General features: G+C 42.6%; 2 protein-coding genes and 1 long non-coding RNA gene across 20 annotated transcripts in view, besides 9 other annotated features; 2 read left to right on the plus strand and 1 right to left on the minus strand.

Annotated features, from left to right (window-relative positions):
* Positions 1–8,805, plus strand: part of RBL2 (RB transcriptional corepressor like 2) — a 57,178-nt gene extending 48,373 nt beyond the window's left edge. For 6 of the 7 annotated variants that reach the window (NM_005611.4, NM_001323609.2, NM_001323610.2 and 3 more), the window contains one exon: positions 7,287–8,805. In NM_005611.4, coding sequence (NP_005602.3) covers positions 7,287–7,457 — 171 coding nt within the window. In that variant the 3' untranslated portion in view covers positions 7,458–8,805. The remainder of the gene's footprint in view (positions 1–7,286) is intronic. The other variant, NM_001323608.2, reaches the window with a different exon arrangement.
* On the minus strand, positions 8,197–21,569 carry AKTIP (AKT interacting protein). 12 transcript variants are annotated; one of them, XM_017023566.2, is made up of 10 exons: positions 21,486–21,569; positions 17,375–17,486; positions 15,548–15,753; positions 12,419–12,483; positions 12,230–12,330; positions 11,674–11,762; positions 11,496–11,594; positions 11,295–11,402; positions 9,850–9,910; positions 8,197–9,676 (listed from the first exon to the last, which is right to left on the minus strand). In XM_017023566.2, the coding sequence occupies exons 2-10, from the start codon at positions 17,414–17,416 to the stop codon at positions 9,569–9,571; spliced, it is 879 nt and encodes a 292-aa protein (XP_016879055.1). In that variant the 5' UTR covers positions 17,417–17,486; positions 21,486–21,569; the 3' UTR covers positions 8,197–9,568. The 12 variants fall into 12 exon arrangements, with proteins under 12 accessions (XP_016879055.1, XP_005256155.1, XP_047290442.1 ...); XM_005256098.6 differs by having other exon boundaries at positions 8,197–9,679; XM_047434486.1 differs by lacking the exon at positions 21,486–21,569 and adding an exon at positions 20,524–21,044.
* Positions 19,562–20,063: an enhancer, noted in NCBI's record as "H3K27ac hESC enhancer chr16:53536317-53536818 (GRCh37/hg19 assembly coordinates)". NCBI's record gives its function as "activates a minimal SCP1, AML or CMV promoter by ChIP-STARR-seq in naive and primed H9 embryonic stem cells {active_cell/tissue: H9 hESC(naive and primed)}" and the evidence as "EXISTENCE:reporter gene assay evidence [ECO:0000049][PMID:30033119]".
* Positions 19,562–20,133: a biological region, named in NCBI's record as "H3K27ac hESC enhancer GRCh37_chr16:53536317-53536818".
* Positions 19,834–20,133: a silencer, noted in NCBI's record as "silent region_7497". NCBI's record gives its function as "represses an Ori minimal core promoter by ATAC-STARR-seq in GM12878 lymphoblastoid cells {active_cell/tissue: GM12878}" and the evidence as "EXISTENCE:reporter gene assay evidence [ECO:0000049][PMID:35858748]".
* Positions 20,064–20,563: an enhancer, noted in NCBI's record as "H3K27ac hESC enhancer chr16:53536819-53537318 (GRCh37/hg19 assembly coordinates)". NCBI's record gives its function as "activates a minimal SCP1, AML or CMV promoter by ChIP-STARR-seq in naive H9 embryonic stem cells {active_cell/tissue: H9 hESC(naive)}" and the evidence as "EXISTENCE:reporter gene assay evidence [ECO:0000049][PMID:30033119]".
* Positions 20,064–20,723: a biological region, named in NCBI's record as "H3K27ac hESC enhancer GRCh37_chr16:53536819-53537318".
* Positions 20,394–20,463: a silencer, noted in NCBI's record as "silent region_7498". NCBI's record gives its function as "represses an Ori minimal core promoter by ATAC-STARR-seq in GM12878 lymphoblastoid cells {active_cell/tissue: GM12878}" and the evidence as "EXISTENCE:reporter gene assay evidence [ECO:0000049][PMID:35858748]".
* Positions 20,484–20,723: a silencer, noted in NCBI's record as "silent region_7499". NCBI's record gives its function as "represses an Ori minimal core promoter by ATAC-STARR-seq in GM12878 lymphoblastoid cells {active_cell/tissue: GM12878}" and the evidence as "EXISTENCE:reporter gene assay evidence [ECO:0000049][PMID:35858748]".
* Positions 21,024–21,123: an enhancer, noted in NCBI's record as "active region_10843". NCBI's record gives its function as "activates an Ori minimal core promoter by ATAC-STARR-seq in GM12878 lymphoblastoid cells {active_cell/tissue: GM12878}" and the evidence as "EXISTENCE:reporter gene assay evidence [ECO:0000049][PMID:35858748]".
* Positions 21,444–21,533: a silencer, noted in NCBI's record as "silent region_7500". NCBI's record gives its function as "represses an Ori minimal core promoter by ATAC-STARR-seq in GM12878 lymphoblastoid cells {active_cell/tissue: GM12878}" and the evidence as "EXISTENCE:reporter gene assay evidence [ECO:0000049][PMID:35858748]".
* LOC124903690 (uncharacterized) lies at positions 21,537–23,135 on the plus strand. The gene is made up of 2 exons (XR_007065069.1): positions 21,537–21,577; positions 21,898–23,135. It is a non-coding gene; the product is annotated as an uncharacterized LOC124903690 (long non-coding RNA).
* Positions 23,136–24,687: the final 1,552 nt, after the last annotated feature.

Here is a 24,687-nt window from a genome sequence, read left to right on the forward strand (position 1 = left end):
TACACATATATATATGGCCTGAACTCTTCAAAAAAAGGTCAGTATGGTAAGAGGACGGGGAAGGTATCATTGAGGAGACTAGGGAGACACGACATCCAAATGCAATGCATGATTTTTGATCCTGCATAGGAAAACGTTGCTATAAAGGACATTTTGAGGAAAATTTGAATGTGGCCTTCAGTGTATTTTTTTTTAAAAGTTTCTTTGGTGTTGATGATGCCTAGCAGATTATGTAGGAGACTGTGCTGAAAGTATTCAGAGGTAAAGTGTCCCAGTGTCTGCAGCTTACTTTCAAACGGGTTGGTTGCAATATATTTAGGTAGGGAGAGAGTGAAAGCAACTCTTAGACATTAATGATTGATAAGTGGCTGCTCAGTGTACTATTTTTTTCAACTCTTTGTAGGCTTGCAATCTTTTAAAAAGTTGAGGAAAACAGTCCGGGTGCAGTGCCTCACGCCTGTAATCCCAACATTTTGGCAGGCTGGGGTGGGAAGATTGCTTGAGGCCAGGAGTTGGAGAACGGCTCAGGCAACATAAGACCCCATCCCTACAACAAATAAAAATTAGCTGAGCATGGTGCCATGCACCTGTAGTTGTAGCTACTCAGGAGGCTGAGCCCAAGAGTTCAAGGCTGCGGTGAGCTATGGTCGTGCCACCACACTCCAGCCTGGGCAATAAAGTGAGAAACCCTGTCTGTTTGGAAAAAAAAGTTGAGGAAAACAAGTAAACAAGAACAGCAAAAATCTGTTAGAAAATGTAATAATGGGCCAGGTGTGGTGGCTCATGCCTGTAATCCCAGCACTTTGGGAGGCCGAGATGGGTGGATCACCTGAGGTCAGGAGTTCAAGATCAGCTTGGCCAACATGGTGAAACCCCATCTCTGCTAAAAGTACAAAAAAATTAGCCGGGCATGGTGGTGGACACCTGTAATCCCAGCTACTCAGAATCGCTTGAATCCCGGAGGCAAAGTTTGCAGTGAGCTGAGATCGTGCCATTGCACTCCAGCCTGGGGGACAAGAGCAAGACTCCGTCTCCAAAGAAAAACAGAAAATGTAATAATGGAGACACTTTTCCTATCATAGTAAAAAAAAAAAAAAAAAGGTGTAAAGGTGTCACGTGCTTTGGAATGAATTTATAAAACTTATGAAAACTGGAATAAATGAAGACATACCAGCGATTCTGAATAAGAAGACCAAATATTTAAAAGATATACTTTCTCTGTTATATAGGCTTAGTCTAATTCCAGTGATATTCCTAGTAGGACTGGTTATGAAACCTGGAAACATAAATTGGCAGTAACAGCCCCAAAAAGCAAATGGAGTTGGAGGAAATGATTCTGACGGCTTAAATTAGACTCTCATCCTGTAACCTATAAATTCTAAATGGATTAACAGAGTTAAATGGAAAAAAAGAACAGAATAATAGCAGGTAATAGACAAAGCAGATGAATTGGAATGATAATACTCAAAAGGTGGCTTAAAAAGGAGGAAAAAAGGAACATACAGGAAAATAGCATTTAAATGTAAATGGTCTAAATGTACCAATTAATAGTTAGAATTTATCTGACTGGACAAAAAAGCAGGACCAAACTATATGTTGTTTGTAAGTTATATACTTTAAATATAAAAATGTATATCCATAAAAGGAATATTTACTTGGCAATAAAAAGGATGAAGTACTGATACATGCTACAATATGAATGGACCTTGAAAACATCGTTAAGTGAAAGAAGCCAGTCACAAAAGAGAACATATTTTATGATTCCATTTATATGAGTTGTCCAGAATGGGCAAATATCTAGAAGCAGAAAGGAGATTCATGGTTGCCAAGGGTTGTGGGGAATAGAGTTTCTGCTTATGAACAAGAAGTTTCTGGGGTGATGAAAGAATTCAAAAATAGAATGTAGTGATGGCTGCTCTGGGAACTCTGGGAACATACTAAAAGCCATGGAGCTGTACACTTCAAATGGTTGAATAATACGGTATAAGAATTATATCTCAATAAAGCTGGAAGGGTGGAAAAGGTTATACCATGCTACCACTCATGAAAAGAAAGTTGGAGTGGCTGTATTAATATCAGAGAAAGTAGATTTCAGAGCAAAAAATATTATCAGGACAAAGAGGGTCGTTTCCTATTATAAAGAGGACATATAACCCTAAATAAAAAAAAAAAACTGGTAGTCAAGAGATTTCAACATAATTGGTACAACAAATAGAGAAAATCACTAAGGATACAGAAGATGTAGACATTATCAACTGATTGACATTTATAGAACACTCTCTAACAAATCAAGTGCAGAGAGAACATTTACCAACATAGACTACATTCTGGACCATAAAACAAGTCTCGATAAATGTTAAAAGGGTTGAAATACTGTGTTTTCACTATCACAATGGCATTAAATCAGAAATCAATAAAAGATACCTGGAAAATCCCCCAATTCTTGGAACCTAAATTATATATTTCTATTGGTTAAAGAAAGCACAAGAGAAATTAGAAAATATTTTGAACTAAATGAAAATGAAAATCCAAAATATTAAAATTTGTGGGATGTAGCTAAAACAGTGCTAAGAGAGAAATACATACACCTATGTTCCAAAAGAAAAAAGGTCTCAAATTAGTGACCTAAGATTTCAGCTTAAGAAAGTAGAAAAAGTGTAGGACTCACTGAAATGGAAAACTGTAAAGCAGAGAAAAACCAAGGCAAACAAAAGCTCGGTTTTTTTGGAGGCTGGGTGCTGTGTCTCATGCCTGTAATCTCAGCACTTTGGGAGGCTGAGGTGGGTGGACTGCCTGAGCTCAGGAGTTCGAGACCAGCCTGGTAACGTGGCAAGACCTTGTCTCTACTTTAAAAAAAAAAAATTTAACTGGGTGTGGTGCTGTACACCTGTGGTTCCAGCTACTCCGGAGGATAAGGTGGAAGGATGGCTTGAGCCCAGGTGGTTGAGGCTACAGTGAGCCATGCTCACATTACTACACTCCAGCCTGAGTGACAGAATGAGACCATCTAAAAAAAAACAAAAACAAAAACAAAAAACCACCTAGGTATTTTGGGAGATGATTTTAAAAATTGATTCCTCTATGTACAGAATAATCAGGAAAAGAAATGACACATTACTAGTATACATTAAAAGTATAATGAAAGATAAAGAACAACGTAATGCCAGCCAGATGTCGTGGCTCATGCCTGTAATCCCAGCACTTTGGGAGACCAAGGCAGAAGGATCCTTGAGCCCAGTAGTTCAAGACCAGCCTGGGCAACATAGCAAGACCTTGTCTCTGAAAAAAAAAAAAAAAAAAAAGCCAGGTGTGGTGGGGTTGGTGAGGTGTGCCTATAGTCCCAGTTACTTGGGAGGCTGAGGTGGGAGGGTTGCTAGAGCCTGCGTGGTCAAGGCTGCAGTGAGCTGTGATGGCACCCCTGCACTCCATCCTGGGCAACAGAGTGAGACCCTGTTTCAAAACTTTAATGCCAATAAATGTGACAATGCACATGAAATAGACAAATTCTTGAAAGATACAAACTAATAAAACTCAAGTAGTAGTCTCAGTAGCCCCTGTATCTACTAAAGAAATTAATTTGTGGTTTAAAAACCTCCTGTCAGAGAAAACTGTAGGCCCAGATGGCTTCATTGGTAAATGCTACCAAACATTTAAGGAAGAAATAATGCCAATTCTATAGAAACTCTCCCAAAAAGTGAAGGTGATAAATGATCTTAGTGTTTGAAGGAAAGCATCTGACAAAATCCAACATTCATTAATGTAAAAACTCTCAAGGAACTTCCTCAGCTTGGTAAACATTTACCAAAAGCATCTACAGATATCATACTTAATGGTGATAGACTGAATGCCTTGCCCCTGTGATCAAGAACAAGGCAACAATGTCCACTCTCACTACCCCTGTTCAACATTGTAACTGGGAGTCCTAGCATGTGCAATAAGACAAGAAAAGCCATACAGCCTGGATTGTCTACATAGGAAAATCACAAAGAATCCACAAAAAGCTACTGGAACTAATAAGGGAGGTTATGTGATCAACATACAAAAATCAAATGTATTTCTATATGCTAGCAGTGAACAATCAGAAGTAAAATAAAAAATTGAATACCATAACATTTTAAAATTACTTAGGGGTAGGTATGATAAAAACTATGCAACACATATATCCTGAAAACTATAGAAGCTTGGTGAGAGAAATTAAAGCCTGAGAAGATACAGAAATGTGTTCATGACATTGAATGAAAATAATACCTTAGTTTCCAATTCATGGAAAATAAAACAGCAGTTTTCTCCCAATTGATCTATAATTTCAAACCAATTTCAGTCAAAATCCAAACAGATTTATGTAAAAAACTGATTCTAAAATTTGTCATTTACAAGGCAAAGAACTCGAATAGCTAAAATAATTCAAAGGTGGAGGATTCACACTAATTATGAAGGTACACAAAATATCTGTATTATAACACCACAGTAATCAAGACAGTAGTGTTGGTGGAAGTATAGACACAGAGATCAATAGAACAGAACAGAGTCCTGAAATAGACAACACATGTATGGTAAACTGATTTTCAACAAAGGTGCAAAGGCAATTTGGTAGAGAAAGGATAGCCTTTTCAACAGATGGTGCTGGAACAATTGGATGTGCATATAACAAAATAATAGTAAACTTGTTCCCATACCCTGCACTATATACAAAAACTAAAAATGAACCACAGACATAAATGTAAAATCTCAAACTACAAAACCTCTAGAAGACAACAGAAAATCTTAGTGAACATGTTTTATGGGAAAATTTTATATACAACATCAAAAGCACAATCCGTAAAATACTGTTAAAATGGATTTTATCAAAATGAATAATTTCTGCTATTTGAGACACTGTTAAGAGAATTAAAAAACCAGCCATAGACTATTAGAAAATCTGTACACGTTCCATATCTGATGAAGCATTTGTATATCTACAGTATCTAAAGAATTCTCAAAATTCAGTAGGAAAACCACCAAATGTAAAAGTGGGCAAAAGATTTGAACACACTTCACCCATTACATGCCTGTTAGAATGGCTAAAATCCAAAAAGTGACAAATCGTAAGTTCTGACAACAATGTGGAACAATTTTACATATTGCTGGTGTGAACGCAAAATGGCATCGCCACTGTGGAAAGTTGTTTCTTAAACATACCATTATACAACCAGCAATCTCATTCCTAGGTATTTACACAAATGAAATGGAAACTTATGTTTAGACAAAATCACGTACATGACTGTTTATAGTGACTTTCTTCCTAATTGCCAAAAAGTGGGAAACAACCCAAACGTCCTTCAGCTGGTGAATGCATATAAATAAGCTGTGGTGCATCCAGACAATCGACTGCTACTTTGCAATAAAAAGGAACTGATATATTCAATGTAGATAAATCTCAAATGCATCAATGCTTAAGTGAAAGACACTGGATTCAGTAGGCTACTTATGATTCCATTTCTGTGACATTGTGGAAAAGGCAAAACTATTGGACAAGAACATCAGTGGTGGTTTGGGATAGGCTGACAAGGGAGTATGAGGGATTTTTTCAGAGGAACAGTTTTATCCGACTGTAGGTATTTCTAGCACAGAATTGGGAGTCTGTCCAGTAAAATGATAGCGATTATTAGACTCTTGGTTGGAGAAAGATTTGTCATCTTGACGTAATAGGTGATAGCTGAAACTTACGGGGAGAATATTACAAAGCAAGAAGGGGGAGAATATTACAAAGCAAGAAGTAGCTTATGTCTAGAACCAATCTATAACGTACTAACATTTAGACTACTATGAGAAAATAATTATCAAATACTATACAAGATCAGTTAAGATGAAGACTGATCATTAGTGATACTTGACAGAGCAGTGTCAGTGCACTGGTATGACTTGTTGAAAAATAAATTATGGTAGCATTGCTTATACACAATTAACAATGTATACAGTAAACAGTGTAAGAAATATTCAAGCAAATGGGAGACTGCAGAGATAGCAAATGCAGACCAGACTCTTAGGAAGGCAGAAAGGGGGCTAGAAAAAGAATTGAAGGAAAGCTTTCTTCAGATGCTTAAGATTTTGTGGCCAGGTGCAGTGGCTCATGCCTGTTCCCAGCACATTAGGAGGCCAAAGCAGGAGGATTGCTTGAGCCCAGGAATTCAAGACCAGCTTGGACAACATAGTGCAACCCCATTTCTATTGTTAATTAAAAAAAAAAAAAAAATGAAAAACACTTGTGAAGGTACATCTGTTGATAATAAAGAACACTGATTTTCATTAAAACCCCCAAAACATTTATTACTTTAAAGAATAAAAATAACAAGTGTCATGATAAAATATGTCTGGGATTTGTTTTAAAATAATCTGGGGAATGGAAGTGAATCAGAGTATAAATCAAACAAGGCTGGCCAAACATGCTGAAGTAGAGGAATAGGTATGTGAGGATGCATTATGCTTCTCTACTTTTGTATGTTTACAATTTCCTATAATAGATATCTGTGAATTTGCTTAGTATGCTTTCTGTAAGCAAACATGGATGAAGCAGCACATGAAAAAGAATTTTAACCAACAAACTAGCAGAAAATAATGTGACAGACGACTTTTAGAGGCTTTGGAGAAACTGAATGCTAAAGGTGCTGTACAGCCAGCCCCAGTCTTTCTGACATTCTGGCAGTGTCTTTCTCAATTGCAGCTCCTCATCTGAGCCACTGTCCAGAAAATAATTTGAGTAACTTTAATCCTCAATTCTCCCAAGGATAGTACCATTCTAGATCTTACTAATTTATTAGCTACAATGGATACCTTAGGGGGGGATTAAGGCCTACTTTTCTAGTGAAATCCCAGTTGAGAATGGCTGCTAAAAACTGAGTAACATTAGACTGAAAAAAAGGGAATATTGTATAAAGTTGTACTTTAAAAAAGAGAAAAAGATGTGTCTAAGTGACTATCAGATAGCAATGTAATGCTCCCTAATTGTAAAAAAAATCACAAATTTGTGAACTCACAAATTATAGACATGTATAATTGACCTACAGGTCAAAAGTGCCTGTGGAAGAGCTTGTTAAAAATAGAACTACTCAGCCCCTTCTCAAATAGCCATCGGCCTCAGCCAGCTGAAAAGTAAAGTTGGCAGGTTATGTAACTTAGTGTTTCTTTTCTCTGTAGATGTGTTCAAACTCTTCCAGGGTAAACTGCTTAACTCATTTGAGATTCTTTGACTTAATACTGAGCTATGTGCATTTGCATTTTAAAATTTTTGTATCTTTTTCCCACCATAGAGACTGAGAGAAATTAATAGTATGATACGCACAGGAGAAACTCCTACTAAAAAGAGAGGAATTCTTTTGGAAGATGGAAGTGAATCACCTGCAAAAAGAATTTGCCCAGAAAATCATTCTGCCTTATTACGCCGTCTCCAAGATGTAGCTAATGACCGTGGTTCCCACTGAGGTTAGTCTCTTGTATTAAACTCTTCACAAAATCTGTTTAGCAGCAGCCTTTAATGCATCTAGATTATGGAGCTTTTTTCCTTAATCCAGCTGATGAGTTACAGCCTGTTAGTAACATGAGGGGACATTTTGGTGAGAAATGGGACTTAACTCCTTCCAGTGTCCTTAGAACATTTTAATTCATCCCAACTGTCTTTTTTTCCCTACCATTCAGTGATTACTGTCAAGGCTGCTTAGAATCCAAACTTGGATTTTTGACTCTGGCAAAGCTTTTAGAAATACTGCAAGAAAATGATGTGTACCCAAACGTGAGCATAGGAGGCTTCTGTTGACGTACTCCAACAGAAGAACTGTGTTTCAAGTTCAATCCTACCTGTTTTGTGGTCAGCTGTAGTCCTCATAAAAAGCAAAACAAAAATTAGGTATTTTGTCCTAAAACACCTGGTAGGAGTGTGTGATTTTTTGCATTCCTGACAAAGGAGAGCACACCCAGGTTTGGAGGTCCTAGGTCATTAGCCCTCGTCTCCCGTTCCCTTTGTGCACATCTTCCCTCTCCCCATTCGGTGTGGTGCAGTGTGAAAAGTCCTTGATTGTTCGGGTGTGCAATGTCTGAGTGAACCTGTATAAGTGGAGGCACTTTAGGGCTGTAAAATGCATGATTTTGTAACCCAGATTTTGCTGTATATTTGTGATAGCACTTTCTACAATGTGAACTTTATTAAATACAAAACTTCCAGGCTAAACATCCAATATTTTCTTTAATGCTTTTATATTTTTTTAAAATGTTAAAACCCCTATAGCCACCTTTTGGGAATGTTTTAAATTCTCCAGTTTTTTGTTATATAGGGATCAACCAGCTAAGAAAAGATTTTAATCAAGTTGAATTGAGGGGATTAATATGAAAACTTATGACCTCTTCCTTTAGGAGGGAGTTATCTAAAAGAAATGTCTATTAAGGTGATATATTTAAAAATATTTTTGGGTGTTCCTGGCAGTTTAAAAAAATTGGTTGGAGAATTTAGGTTTTTATTAGTACCATAGTACCATTTATACAAATTAGAAAATGTTATTTAACAGCTGAATTATCTATACATATCTTTATTAATCACTATTGTTCCAGCAGTTTTCAAGTCAAATTAATAATCTTATTAGGGAGAAAATTCAATTGTAAATTGAATCAGTATAAACAAAGTTACTAGGTAACTTCATATTGCTGAGAGAAATATGGAACTTACATTGTTCAATTAGAATAGTGTTCTGCAAAAATATTTATAAAACTTCTCAAGATACTGCTACTGTAATTTTATATGAAGATAAGTGTATTTTTCAATAAAGCATTTATAAATTAGCCTTTGTTTGGTTATATTGAGAAAAGGGTAGTTTCCTGCATAAATGGCAAAGAACAATCATTTATTGGTTTATTTTGTCTCTACTAAACACATTAGTCATTTATCATTTAAATACCGGACTTCATTAGAAACCGTTGTAACACTTTTTCTCCCTCCTGCCATAAAAATACAGTAAGTAATTTGCTTAAAAAAAACAACACAACACTAGGAACAAGTGTTCTGGTTTCTTCTCACTGAACTAAAGACATTTCTCAGTGATTTCAGTTTGTAAATCAGTAAGACAGTGCAGGCTACAAATCAGTGCAGGCTGAAGACTGAGATTCAAATGATCTTCCACTTAAAAGTGCTGAGCTATGGAACCTGCTCTCTCTATACCTCTCCATTTCCTAACATATATACAACTGAAACCACTGATTTATAAACTATTAAGTAGTGCTGAATTCTGTCTGCTCTATTAGTTTAAATGAATGCAACTTACCTTTAGCATTATATTCAGAAAAATACTTACTTAAGCCTCAAGGTCCCCAATAATTTGGAGTACTGAACTAGATAACCACCCTAAGACACTTCTGACAGAAGTAATGCATTACTTAGAGACAGGTTTCCAAACCCTGCTGTTAGAACCTATGCATACATGGAAAACACTGGCAGTCAGTCATTGTTCACACAGTTTTACTCTTCAGGCAGTCCTCTGCCATTGGTCAGCTTGAACTAGGCCAGAGTCTAGCAGGAAAGTGCATGGTGCACCAGATTCACCATCTCTTAAGTCGCCACTGTTTTCTCTTCTTTACTGAAAGGCTGTACTGAGCCAGGCTTTACCCATGACAGGCCAGCAACATGAACACTTTTATTGTGCTGTTCTTCAGGCTTCTTCTAGGCACAATCAAAACAGATATTTAAAAAATTACTGGTGAGGAGATTTCAGCACTGTACAAACTTGTTTCCCAAAAAAAGTTACTTGTATGTAATGAGCAGTCTCCAAATGAAGACATTTTAGAAAAGAAACAATGAGTTAGCCATTTCATAAGTTGTTATCCACTTACTTTCTGAGTCAGCATCTTTTCTCTGGCTTCATCATGTACAGAAGGATTCCATGGAGAAAAGCTTAAGGAAGAGAAAAGTATTTAAAAACTATTTGTTGGCTCACTAAATTTCTATAACATTCATTTTGCAGTTTTAAGCCAATTCCCCTAACTTAATAAAGCACAGTATTTTTTATTGTTGTCGACATGTATGTTTTAGACATTATCTAATTAATTTTCTCACATAACTATCCCTCATACATGAATGATCTCATTTAAGCCTCACACCACCCCTTGAAGTACTGTTATTTAAAGATTAAGACAGCAAAGCAGAGTAAATTAATTGCTCTGGGTTACCAGAGCTAAAAAGTACAAAAGCCACGTAGTCCATCTGCTGACTCCAAGCTCTTTTTTTTGAGACTGAGTCTAGTTCTGTCACCCAGGCTGGAGTGCAGTGGTGTGATCTCGGCTCACTGCAACCTCCGCCTCCTAGATTCAGGCCATTCTCCTGCTTCAGCCTCGCTGGGACTACAGGTACCTGGAGTGCAATGCCAAGATCTTGGCTCACTGCAACTTCTGCCTCCCTGGTTCAAGTGATTCTCCTGCCTCAGCCTTCCTGAGTAGCTGGGATTACAGGCATGCACCACCCACACCCAGCTAATTTTGTATTTTGTATTTTTAATAGAGACGGGGTTTCTCCATGTTGGTCAGGCTGGTCTCGAACTCCCAACTTCGGGTGATCTCCCCGCCTCGGCCTCCCAAAGTGCTGGGATTACAAGTGTGAGCCACTGCACCTGACCAATTTTTGTATTTTTAGTAGAGATGGGGTTTGGCCATATTGGTCAGGCTGGTCTTGAACTCCTGACCTCGTGATCCACCCACCTCGGCTTCCCAAAGTGCTAGGATTACTGGCATAAGCCACCATGCCTGGCCATGAGTCCAAGCTCTTAATAGCTATACTCCACTGCCTTCCTAAGCACTACCAATGTTGCCAAAGAGCAAAATCACCAATTCGTCCATTCCCAATACTCCTCCAGACACTGTTCCTTAAATCAAATGTCATAGTGCTTCAGGAACCCACCATTCTCACACTATTCAGTTTCCCTCCTTTTACCACATCTGAATGTCAATGAGGGTTTGGCAGTTTAAGAGGGGCTCCAGCTAAAACTGCCAGCTGAAAAGAAGAGTCCTGACATGGGAATGAATAAATATATCACAAGGATCCCTGGGAAACCAAAGTCACCAGAGAATGTGCTGTCGGCACAGCCTGTCAGATGTGAAGCTTTTTGTTTAAGAGAAGAGCCTCAAGAGGCATCAGAAATCGAGTTGGCACCAAGTTATAAAGGTTGTAGGCTAACAGCTTATGCATGTGCCTTTTTATATCCCTATTCTGAGACCACCTGGAGAAAGGAAGCAGTGTATTGGAAAGGACAGTGGACAGTTCACTTGGGGGATGCACCACTTACCTAATTGCATAGGGGTCTTCTATTTTAGGTTGGTCAAACAAACGAGCAGTGCACACCTTAACACTGTCAACAACTTTACTTTTAAAAAGCTGAATATCTTTTTCATACCTGTGTTAAAAGTTTAAGTCAAAAAGTTACTAACTTAATCTACTTAGCTGCATCTTCAAATTTATTTTAAATAACAAAGCAAAAGTTACATACAGTACTGCAGCCTCTGGGTTCAGGGGGCTTGCTGTATCAATCTTGTAGAAAACTCTCCTTGCATACATTAATACCTGCCAAATATGATTATGGTTCCGCCTAAAGGGAAACATGGCGTGATTACCGAGGCGTCCTCTTGCTGTATTATGTCACTAAAAGAAACACTTTATTTACTTACCTCCATTTTGCAAATGCTCTCTTCACATCCAGCTCACCTGAGGTGGGATCAACTAGCGGGTGAAAGACAGGAATATCGAACACCAAGCGCTGTATTTAAATAAAGAGAGACATGTCCTTTAATGGAAGCAGTGGCGCTTATGAGACCCATAGGAATCGTGATAAAAAGAGCTTCAGGACAAGGCAGTCACGTTATTTAAAGCTAAAGAGCTGCCTCAAGAGGGCTACTTAACTACTTTTACCATTTTCCTGAAAAACTAAATTTTGCAATGAAGCGGGGAAAACTCCCTCTCCTCCACTAGAGCCTGAGGGCCACCATTCACCTGGTGAGTGCTGCAGGATGGCAGGCAGCCAGCCTCCCTTGCAGACCCTGAGCAGAGAAACAAAGCTCTGATGGCATGCCGGAAGCTGCTGCAAAGCACAGAAGTCCCCCTGGACAACTACTGGGTAGATAAATCATAAAGGTACCAGGTCAGGAAAAGAACCAGGAAAGCTGTAAGCCCTTTCAGCCCTTCTCGCTGATCCACAAATAAAGCCAGACTGTGTCTCCAACTTACTGGACAGTCACCATCTGGATAGTTATCAGGGATGTAAACTGTAAACTTAAATACGCCATCTTGGTAAAGTCCATGCCGTATGAATATTACTCCAAACCACACTGTAGGAAAAAATAAAAGAGTTAAGGCCTAAATTTGTGTGGGAGGAACTAAATGTGCCCATAAATTAAGAGTGAATCCTCATCTTACTTAATGCAGAGCGATAAGATGGCTGCACATAGACGCCTGGTAGCTTCTGCTTCACAACCAAGGTACTACAACAAAAGCAGAATAATTAACTTGTGTGGATACAAATGACACATGCAGATCAAACCACCCCACATTCACTTTGAGACAATGAACGGCCCCTCAATGGGCAGCTGATGCCCAAACCCTGCAAGCCAAGTTCTCACAATCTCTCACCTGACACAACTCAGGAAAGAGCCCCAGCCCTGATCGCTGCCCACTACTGGCCTCATAGCAGCAGCTCACAGAGAAACCAGCAGGCCAGCAGGGGCCCCACAGTAAGAACTAAAGCCAAACAGGAATAAATGAAGAATAAAGTTTCCTCCCAGAAATTCGCTCTTCCAAAACATCATCTTGGAAACCAGCCTATAGGTAATTCCGAATAATGCAACCTGAGGTAAGTTCTGTACAGCTGAGGTCAATGAGAGTATTTGTAAAATTATGCTTTTGTGCCTGGATGATCATTCAAAAACTTTTAAAATACAATGTTAGATAAATTAAGATTTCTTGGAATTGGGTCACAAAGTTGTCATTTTACATTTTAATCACAAGATCCCACAGCAGAAGGCAATGTTCAGACTCGCAGTACTGCCTGGGGAGGGCAGGCATCCTTGTGCGGCTCTCACACGCCCTGCTCTCAAATGGACACCCTGATGCAGAGACCTGAACTCTGTGGGCCTTGCCAGGGAATGGAAAACTGGGTGCTGAAAACAAGAAACGATAAGTGTATTGACACAAAGGCTACACTGGTTCTTCTGGGACCCAGTTACCCACCCACAGCCATTCTGATCACATTAACCTACCAATCCTGGATTCTATCAAGAACTAGTTTATCAGGCCTTAAGTTTATCATTTTTATTACCTACTTTCCATTCACTTACTTTTCATCATTTTTGAGTTATTATCCGGTCCATTTTTAAGTTGCTAAAATTCAGCATGTCAGTAGCAACATGGCTGGCAGCTGTATCTCTACTACAGTGAAGTTTGCCAGAAAAGGCAGTTCTAATACAGATTTAATCACCCCAATAGACGCCTGTCCAACTCACTGCCCAGCCTCAAACACAAGGCCTCCATTATAGAGCCAAAGGGGCCATTACTACCAAATCATACCCAGCCTTTGTATACAGTTAAAAAGTTACACTGGGGCCTCAGACCCACTGACCATTACAACATTAATACATCCAGGGAGGGGTCAAGGATGCTTTTTTTTTTTTTTTTTTTGGTTTAAAAAAAAAAAGATGAGGTCTCATAGGCTGTCTGCGATGTCTCATGCCTGTAATCTCAGCCCTTTGGGAGGCGCCAAGGCAGGCAGATCACTTGAGGTCAGGAGTTTGAGACCAGCCTAGCCAACATGGTGAAATCCAGTCTCTTACTAAAACTACAAAAATTAGCCGGGTGTGGTGGCGCACACCTGTAGTCCCAGCTACTCCAGAGGCTGAAGCAGGAGAATCCAGAGGCAGAGGCTCTGAGGAGGCAGAGGCTGCAGTAAGCTGAGATTGTGCCACTGCACCCCAGCCTGGGTGACACAGTGAGACTCCATCTCAAAAAAAAGAAAAAAAGATGAGGTCTCACTATATGGCCTACACTTGTCTCACATTGCAGAGCTCAAATGATCCTCCCACTTCAGCCTCCTGAGTAGCCGGGACTATAGGTCTGCAGCTGGGAAATTTTTAATTTTTTTTTTAGAGACGGGGTCACTCTATTGCCCAGGCTGGTCTTGAACTCCTGGGTTCCAGTGATCCTCCTGCGTCAGTCTCCCAAGTAGCTGGGATTACAGGCATAAGCCACTGTGCCTGGCTCAAGGATGCTTTTAAAATAACTGTATACAAAGGAATTTTTAAATGATGGAAATTAAGAATTCTCCAAACTTTCTGTCCTTTTAACAAATTCTCTAATGAAATGCCATCTGCGTCTGTGCAGTGCTGGAGCCCCCGTGTGTGCCAGGCACCACAGGGTCGCTGCCAGCACTCCGCACCCTGCTTGGCTTCTTGCACTCCACAACCAGGTGCAACTGCAGCCCAGCTGCAGACCTCGGTGACCAGTCAGCGTCTTCCTTACATGGAGCCCACATCTTTGTCTCTTCCCTAGAATTGCTAAGTCCTGCCTTTGGGGGTCATACAGAATAAGATCCTTCCTTGTGACAGACCTTCAAATATATTAAGACAACTTTAATACGTGCTTAAGCTGTCTCTTCTCCAAGAAAACTTCTCCAGTTCCTTCAACTGTGGATCCCTAAGGACTGGCCTTCCTGGTCCCTCCCTGCTAGGCCTTCTCCTCCATCTGTCAGGAGGCTGCCTACAAGGCGACAACCAAATGGAGCACCACCCTCCAGATGGGTCTGACCCAAGAAGGCAGAGACAGCCACTCTCCCACTGTCCTACTCTCTAGAAAAACCTCCAGGAGGCGAATTCCTCACTTCACATAAACGAAGACTAAATTTATTAAGTTCCTAATCTACTGTAGGTTCTTTGAGACGGGGTTTCGCTTTATCGCCCAGGCTGGAGTGCAATGGCACAATCTCGGCTCACTGCAACCTCCACCTCCCGACTTCAAGCAATTCTCTGCCTCAGCCTCCCGAGTAGCTGGGATTACAGGCGCCTGCCATCAAACCTGGCTAATTTTTGTATTTTTAGTAGAGACGGGGTTTCACCATCTTGGCCAGGCTGGTCTTGAACTCCTGAACCTCGTGATCCACCTGCCTGGGCCTCCCAAAGTGCTAGGATTATAGGCGTGAGCCGCCATGCCCGGCCAATCTACTGTAGGTTCTTAATAAGCCTTAGTTTCTTCCTTTTGTTACTCTCCAAAACAGACATGGAAATTAAAGTACCCTCTGCCTTTAAATCTTATTCACCCGAGCTCTAAAGAATCTTTAAGAGAGGCTATTTTTATCTCTCTACCTAGGTCTTGGTTAAGAAACATTTTATCACCAGCAATAGCCTATAGTTTTATATTTATTAAGTCTGATACTGGAAAGGGACAGGTTTGAGCTTTGAGATTAAATGTCTGCCCTTTACTGCATCCATCAGAATAAATTTCATTCTTCACTTTAAAGGATCATTCCTAATTTAACCAAATAGTTTGTTAAGGACTTACAATTCTGCAAGAAGAGAGTATTCCAGGTAGAAGGGTCCATAGGACGCATGCGTGCCATTTGTTGACTGTGCTGCTGGGGCAGGAGATGTAGGCTTAGTTATGGGCAAAGCATTTTTGGGAATAGAAGGCAGCTGTTTCTTTGGTGCAGTTCGTGGAGGACTGGTTTTCACGTCCCCTGTTAATGTCTTCTCTTCACCTTCAGATCGCTATACAAGATGAAGTTGTAAGAATATCTGTTAGGATGATTCTTAAATCACAAGAGTACATTATTAGCTCCATGGCCTAAATGCTGGAATTACTCCTTTACAAGCACATTCTAACACCATGACCAAGATGACTAGAAAGTCCTTTGGGCAGGCAGGTCATATAAAGAGAAGACAAACCTGAAGCAAGACCAAAGCATTAGAGAAACTCTTTCATATAGGGAAACTCATCCTATAAGGATGATACAATCAGTGTGTACAGGATTAACTGAAACACAGAAAGAAATGTTTTTTCCTAGTGGCCCCAAAAAGAGGGCAAGGGGTTACTAAGCAATTAGACAACTGTACAAGGCTAGAAAAGTCCCCCAGCACTTACATGCTACAGAAGGTTAGGTGCTAAGAAGCTCAAAATAATGTGGATGACTGAAATCAGTCACTGCCTGTTAGCACTTAGGTTAGAAACAAAGAATGAAGCTATTCTCTCACTTGCCTGGGTCTGATTTTGATTTGTCCCTACTGGGTATGTTTCAACATTTCAAATATCACCAGCATAAACTGTCATCCTTCGTCAAAGACAAAGGTCGACATGAGTCAGAGACTAAACTACCATCTCATAGGTACTTCCTTGGCGCAAGTACAACCAAACGCTGTTTAATTAGCTATATAAAAACATGTATATCATATGCATTGCTCCAGTGATGGGGGCATCTAAAGGCCCTGAATTCAGCACAATGCAATATGCCAATGTAGCAAAACTAAACTTGTACCCCATTACTATGTACAAGTAAGGAAGAGATGTCATGTATATAGAAAAAAAGTAATAGTGGTGTTTGTTCTCCTAGAGGTGAGATTATAGTTTTTTTTTTTTTTTTTTCTTTTTGAGATGGAGTCTTGCTCTGTTGCCCAGGCTGGAGTGCAGTGGCGCGATCTCAGCTCACTGCAAGCAAGCTTTGCCTCCTGGGTTGACGCCATTCTCCTGCCTCAGCTTCCTGAGAAGCTGGGACAACAGGCGCCCGCCACCATGCCCAGCTAATTTTTTTGTATATTTAGTAGAGACGGGGTTTCACCATGTTAGTCAGGATGGTCTCGATCTCCTGACCTCGTGATCTGCCCGCCTCGGCCTCTCAAAGTGCTGGGGATTACAAGCATGAGCCACCGTGCCCAGCTGGTTTTTATTTTCTTATTGTTTGCCTATTTTAACCTTTCCTAAAATGAAAATATATTTTTAAAAAATCATTTTATTTAGAAAAATTAAATTAGTGCCCCTCAAGTCTGATTTAATGATATTAGACTAGCCTTTCCCACAGCTGTTCTAACCGTAGAACCTTGAAGTTTAGTAGAAAACTACAATGTTACAAATTTCATCATGTGTAAATATAACCTAAATCATCTTAGAATTGTGATGACCAGAACGATTTCTATTTGAGATGCAATCCTAGTCTCAGAAACAGACTTCAACCAACAAAATAATTATTTCTCAAGAGTAAACCCTTAACTAGAAAAACCAGGTAATTTTGTCAAGATTACAGGTGACCGTGACAGATTATTTTAGCCTTCATTCTGACCCTATTTTCAGACACAGAAGCAAATGGGTTTTCTTACTGAATTTATCAACTATACCTACTTTGCGTACAGAGCTTGTAGACATGCTCCAGAAAGGGTTCATAACGTGTATTCCAAACAAAGAAAGTCAGTGGTGTATCATCCAAATCTTCTGTCTTCGGCATTCACTTTACCTTAAAACAAGACGGGAAGACATAGAAACATGCCAACACCAACCATTAAGACTTTTTTTTTTTTTTAAGATGGAGTCTCACTCTGTTGCCCAGGCTGGAGTGCAGTGGTGTGATCTCGGCTCACTGCAACCTCCACCTCCTGGGTTCAAGCGATTCTCCTGCCTCAGCCTCCTGAGTAGCTGGGATTACAGGTGCCTGCCACCATGCCCAGCTAAGTTTTGTATCTTTAGTAGAGACAGGGTTTCACCATGTTGGCCAGGCTGGTCTCGAACTCCTGACCTCAAGTGATCCACCTGCCTCAGCCTCCCAAAGTGCTGGGATTACGGGCATGAGCCACCACGCCCGGCCAACAGTTAAGACTTCTGAAATGATGAATAACTAATTATGACACCCTGGATATACAATATAATGTTATATAACAAGGGGTTATAAAAACCTAGGAAAAGGTCTTCAGGCATCTTCAGAAATAGTTTCCTTCTATACCCACCTCCTTTTCTGGTTCTAATTTCTTTCACACTTAGATGTCTATAAGAATCTGTGCACCAGGTCCCTTGGCCAGGATTCAGATTACTCAGTGACACAGATGAGCTTTGGTGCCAGAAATTCAGAAGATACGGACAACAGTTGTTACTAGCACATCTCGGCATTTAACTAACAGGAAAGCCAGACTCAGAATGCACTGTACCCACATACACATAAGTTGTATCACTGTTCCCAGGGTTATGGGAACAAACAATAGATACAAGGAGGCTGATTTAAGCGCTGCCTCAACTCACCTGAGTACAAAATGATTCCTCCAGCAAAGTATTAGCCAAAGAAATAAGAGAAAACAGGAAGGCACAGCACAAGTATGTCACTAAGACGACAAAAGTAGTTACCTGAGTCCTGTCAGTACCATCCCCCAATAAACTGCCTTCTACAACTTCGAAACATATAGAAACTGCAGGATCATGTACTTAAGGAACTGCCAAGCAATCCAGACAAATGCAACACAGGCACGCAAGAGAGACATTTCACAAGTACAGATCTTCCAGCCGAAGCTTCAAGTCGTGGATAAGAAAGCATGTCTCAAAGGTCATAAAGTCAGTGGGTCATTTACTAAAAATACAAAGAAGCAAAGGAAAAGCAGCCAAGCCCAGCTGTAAGAACAGCAACTTCCCTGCCCTGGTATTTCCCCCCAGGCTCTGTTACCTTTAAAGCAGAGCTCCTTCTCTGAATTCCTACTTGCACCAATCAAACGGCTGAAGGTGAAAAGGGTCAAAACTAAGCAACGTTTTCCTAATTTCTTAAACAGATCATGAGCAAACCATGTACTAAATGTCCCCAATCAGCAATAATTTGTCTTCTCTGACGAGCTTGTGACATCCAGGGACGTACCCAACCCAGGTCATCCATACCTTGCCAGTGCCCATTACTGCTGTTTTGTTTTCCAAGAGAAAATGCCACCCAGTAATTAAATCAGAGGAATGAAGATCCTGGCTCTTCTACTAGCATGGATAACATGCAATAAGTAACAACAGTTCTCCGCAAATCTGCCTTTAAAGGTGAGTATGACACACTGAATATACTTGAGATATCAAAAATGTGCGGGGGCATGTTCCCCTTTGGCTCAAATGAAGACACTGATTTTCAGATCTAGCAGTAATGTGCAGCACCCCAGTGTCCTCTAGGACACACCTAACACGGGACCGGATCCCTTGGGACACAGTGGTGTGCTCCACAACATACATTTAATGGGCTGGTGCAAACCTGTAAAGTCTCTTAAAGGTCTAACGCGTTAGGATTCTCTTTAAGAATCCAGTAAATTTTGTCCCCAGTTCTGCCTGTCATTAAGCAGGAGGTATTGTCTTCTGCTGCCTAACTTTGCTATGGATCTTTTAATCCAATGTTTCCAGCAGCAACATAATCACGAGAAACTGTAGCACACTTTTCAGGGTCTAGTCTAGGACAAGCACAGCATACATGTTCTGAGAGGAATGACATAGATGGAAGCAAGACATGTTACATCCTTGTCACTTGGAAACAATTTTAGAATTTCTGCCTGTTTGGCCACGGCTGCATTCCTTTACATCACCCAGCTGAGAAGTCTGGGTCTTCAGCCTGCGCGAATGACAGTGCGTGGCAGAGCTAAAACTAGGCTAAAACATGAGTGCTGCTGTTACTCTACATGCCACAGCGCACTCACATCACCCCGAATCGGACTTAAGAAATTACACGTTAAGAGGAGACAGAGCAGGGGCCAGAAAAAAAAAGATGAAAACGGCCCGGGCCAGGCTCGCTGGGGACAGCCGGGACCCGCGGCGGCCTCGGACCGGCACCCTCACCGCGGGCGGAAACCCGTCTCTGAGCACTCAGGGAATCTGGACAAACCTGTCTCGAGGTGATGCAAGGCGGGGGCCCTGTCCTGGCCTCGCAGCTAGCTCGATGCTGGCCCGGGAGCCGCGGGCCCCTCCAGTGGGGGGGCTCTGGGGCCCGGCGACGCCCCCTTAACCAGAGCTCGGGGTCGGGACCCGGCCGGGGAGGGCGGGCACGGGCCGGGGCGAGCCAGCTGGGCCCCCCTCTCCCTCGGGCCGGGCCAGCCCAGCTCCAGCCGCAGTCCCCAGCAGCAGTCCCGGGCTGCGAGGCGGCCAGCGCAGCAGGTGCCTGCAAACGCGCACAGGTGCCCGGCCCCGCCTCCGTGTCCCACTGCGGCCGCCGTCGCCGAGTCGCGAGCGCCTAGAAAGATGGACAAATGCCGGGCCCGTGGAGGCTGGCGGCCAGATTTACAGACACCTCAGCCCTCGCGTACCCACCAGCCTGCCGGGCAGTAAGCCTCACCCCAGTGCCTTCAATGCAGAGCTCCTGGCTGCCAAGCGCCGCCGCGGCCCGACAGCATCTCCCGCCGCAGCGCCAGCCCTGCCCCTGCTTGATCCCCGCCCCGCCCCACCCCGCCCTGCCCTGCCCTGCCCTGCCCTCGGCAGCGGGCTCCGCCCCCTGCTGCACGATCCTGGGGCCCGAGGCTTCCGCCTGGCCTCCCGGCGCCAACTGGCTCTCACACCTGCCCGTCAAAGACGTTCTTCCGGGGGCGTTGGGAAGAACACACTCGGTCCTGCAAATCAAATCACCCCGGTTTGGGTGGGACTGCACTTGACCCTCCCCTTACGTAACAGCGCCTGGGACGGCCTGTCAGTCATGGAAGTATCGGCCCCCCGGGGAGGGATGGGGCAGAGACAAACAAGCGCCGGGTCACAATTGGCCAGGGCGTCTGCCAGTCACCACGGAGACCTTCCCGGAGGTTTATTCGCACAGCCCACAGCGCAACCGCCATGCGCAGGGGCTGGGGCATACGCTAACGTCTGCAAGCCAAGCTTTTGGGGAGGGCCGGGCCGCGCGACTGCCCAGTGGCTCCCATCGCTAGGTCCTACTGCGTTGGGCGGCGCTGCGAGGCCCGAGGCCGCCACGTCGGGCCCACAGGGTACCAGGGGTCAGAAGGACACTTGGCGTGGCATCAAGAAACGCCCGTTCTCTCCATCAGTGCAGGAGCTGAAGGCTGGAGCTGAAGGGAGCTCAGCTCCAAGTGGGCCCTGGGCACTAGAGCAGCCAGAGGAGCTTTGTAAATCTGTGTGTGTCGGCCCCGACCTGCAGCATCCGAGTGGGGGCCGGGGGCTGGGGGGAGGGGGGAGGCTGAGGACCAGGAATCCACATCTGTCACAGTTCGCTGCTGATTCTGGCGCACACTGAAGTTGGAGAACCTCTCCCATAGCAACATAGTTCCTGGTCTTTTTTTTTTTTTTTTTTTTTAATTCACACGCTCTCATTTGGACCTCCCGTCTGCTTTCCCATGGAGGTCTCTCTCTGGCCTAATTCTGTGACTGCTGCCAGCTGCTTTCCAGGCCTGTTCTTACCAACGGTGCCTCCCCGTGGTTAGTCCGTCCAATCTCGGCACTCCACTTCCACACTTGCGCGACAGCCCTCTCCCCGCAAGCCCCTGCCCCTTTTCTAGACACCAGAGGCACTGACCTGTCTGTGACACCGCCTCAGTGTCTTACACTCAGAAGCCGCATTCTCTGGCCGGGTTGTTTGGTCCATTTTTGGTTGCCTCTGAGATTCTGGTAAGTGACTTATTAAAGGGCAGGAAGCCAAATTCTCCTGATGTTAATCCCAAGGGTTGGTTCTGAAACCCAGCTTCCTCCCCTAGCTGAAAACACTTCTGAGCCACTTCCTTTTGTCCCCTTAGGACACATTTAGGAATGTTATCATGCCTTTTAATACGAGTCTTAATACAGAAAGGCAGGCAAGCAGGAAATCCTTTTTTCAGGCCACAGGTGGTCTCCTTTGGCACCTCTGTGGCCCATTTCCTCCCAATCTTCTTTGAAGCTCATTATCCTCTGCAAAGCTTTTTTTCTGCTTTCCTCCTTTCCCCAACCTTCAGTTTTCACCGAGGACCCACATAGGTATTTCTCCAGCTCACATCTATCCACTGAGCTTCCAATGCATGTCATCAACTGCGTACTTGGCACCGGATGACTCAGACGCACACCAGCATCAGACTGCACATGGCAGGAAAGCCAACTCAAACCGGCTTACTTAGCAAGGGGATTTCTCTCCCATGGGAGGATTGTCTCCAGAGGTGGTGCCCTGGTCTTCAGGCTCTGCTTTCCTTGCAGTCCCTGGAATTGCACTTTCAGGCTGGTAGCAAGATGGCCGCGGCACACCCAGGATCTCACAAAATTAAAAGTATCCCTTTCTTCCAGTGGTCCCTTTTGAAATACATGACTACCTTTCCCAGAAGCTCCGCAGAAGAAATGCCTGCAGGTTTCAATGGCCAGAAGTAAGTCTCTGGCCACAACGAAACCCAGTCAACGGCAAGTGGAAGGAGTCCGCCATGATCGACTTGGGCTGAGATTTTCCCTAGATCTCTGCCTGGACTTTAGGCAGAGGAGAGCCATGATCAGATTTGTATTTTGAAAACATCACTTTGTGCGGAAAACAGATTGTAGGGGCACAAGGCTCACGGGGCAGTTGAGGAACCATGGCAGTAGTTCAGGCAACAGAGAATCGCATGAATTTGAAGGTAGAGATGGAGAATTGAATGAGTTCCAGAGATGTTTAAGACGGGATGATATAGTTTGGATATGGTTTGACCCTTCCAAACCTCATATTGAAATGTGACCCCCAATGTTGAAAGTGGGGCCTGGTGGGAGTATTTGGGTCATGGAGGCTGATCCCTCATGAAAGGCTTGGTGCTGTCCTGGCAGTAGTGAGTTCTTGGCAGTAGTGAGTGAGTTCTATTAGTTCCCGAGAGAATTGATTGTCAAAAAGAGCCTGTCACCTTCTCCTCCCCTGACCACTGCTCTCTCTCTTGCCAAATGATTCCTGCTGGCCTCTCCCTCTGCCATGAATGGAAGCTTCCTGAGGTCCTCACCAGAAGATGCTGGTGCCATGCTTCTTATACTTAGTTGCCTCTGTCTTTCATTTGACATATATTTATTGCATGCTTAATGACATCTAGGCTTTAAATGCTGGGGAGGCGTTGGAGAACAAAACAGACATTGTTCCTCCTCATGGAGCTACGGGAGATAGATGCTAATCAAGTCATCTCCCAAATCAATGGCTAATTGCCCCAAGGAAGTGGACAATGAGCTGAATAAACCTCTTTTTAAAAATAAATGACCCAGCCTCAGGTATTCCTTTATAGCAACACTGATGGATTCATACAGGTGGGGTGGACAGAGCTTGGCCATGGACTAGGTATGGGGGATGAAGAGGCAGATATGGCTGACACCTAGATTTTTAGCATGAGCTACAGGATGGATGGTGAGGCCATTCACTGAGGTGACAAACAGTGAACCACAAGCAGGTTTGGGACAGTGGGAAATGGGAAAATCTGGGTTGTGTTTTGGGTAGGTATGTTTGGGGTGTTTCTGTAAGCACTATTGCCTGTATACCTAATACCCACTTCTCCCTTTTTCATTGCTGACAGAACCTCCATTTTCTTGAGGAATTTAAGCCCTTCAGTGGTTCCCCATTGGGCAAAGACCAAACTCCTCACCATGGCTGTGTCCCAGCCCCAGGTGGCTGCAGACTCCAGCCACTCTGACATTCTTCCAGTTCCTTGGAAGGGAGTTGCTCCCCTACCTGCCCTGCCACAAAAGGGGCCTTCGCAGTGAACGTTCCCTTTGCCCAGTTCATTCTCTTCAATCCCCTACACAGATCTCAGCTCTAACACTACTTCCTTGGGGGCAATTTGCTGTTGATTTGGGAGATTATTAGTGTCTGTCTCCCACACTGTAAGCTCCTGAGGAGGAACCATTTTTTTGCTTTCTATTGTCTCCCCGGCACCCAAGAGCTAGATGTTGTAGGCATGCAATAAATATTTGCCAAATGAAGGACAGAAGAAACAAAAGTACATTTGAAACACCTACCTGCACGCCCACAGGTCTGCACCAAGAAAGCAACTCATTATGAAAATCAGGATGATTTATTCAAAGGGAAATGAGGAGGTGGCCTCAAGGTACCATTTCTTTAAGACTAAAACATAAAGTGCTGAGAAAAATCTCAATGGACCCAAAACCTTACCTATAAAACATTTTAAATCGCTTCATATTACATTTCCTATTCTCAATTTTTGAAGCATATTTGATATATTTGCACCAAAAGGTTCTTTTTGCATCCAGACTTAATAGATATGTGATCTCTGAGTATTCAGGACTTCTGCTCATGTTCTAATCAGCAAAATATTCCCTGAATCATACATCTTTTGGACTCCGGAAAAGTAACTGTACAAAGCTGTTTAGATCACTGACTTAACTATTAAAGGCCTTCACAGAAAGAAGGAAAGGATAAAATGTTGAAGGTTGTTAAAATACATATGTTTCATACACAGGCACACATATAAGCCGATGTTTTTAGCGCAATCCATTTGCCCCCAAGTCCTTTTCTGAAAAGTAGATTCCTGTATACATGTCACTGATTACATATACTGTTCAAAATATGGGAGGATGATCTAGCTATACATATTAATGTCTTTGAAAAAATATACTTAGCACATTAAAGCCATTATTTTATGGGTAATAATGTTTAGGATGAGACCAAAGTAGGCATTTAATGTTGTTGTTTTTTTTAAGTAAATGGATTTAAGGGAGATCAGATAGTTGTCCTATAGTTAACAATGATCCTCAGACAAGACAGAAATCACAAACTTTTAAGAATTATTGAAGGT

The sequence above is a fragment of the Homo sapiens genome, chromosome 16 (genome assembly GCF_000001405.40).
Source record: "Homo sapiens chromosome 16, GRCh38.p14 Primary Assembly".
In the NCBI taxonomy this organism is placed as follows: Eukaryota; Metazoa; Chordata; class Mammalia; order Primates; family Hominidae; genus Homo; species Homo sapiens.

Coding starts and splice junctions, on each gene's coding strand:
- AKTIP (XM_005256098.6), bottom strand. CDS start 17,416: ATGAACCCTTTCTGGAGCATGTCTACAAGCTCTGTACGCAAA. Junction 12,331..12,418: donor ATCTTATCGCTCTGCATTAA/GTAAGATGAGGA, acceptor TTTTTCCTACAG/TGTGGTTTGGAGTAATATTC. Junction 9,680..9,849: donor AAAAGATGCTGACTCAGAAA/GTAAGTGGATAA, acceptor GATTGTGCCTAG/AAGAAGCCTGAAGAACAGCA.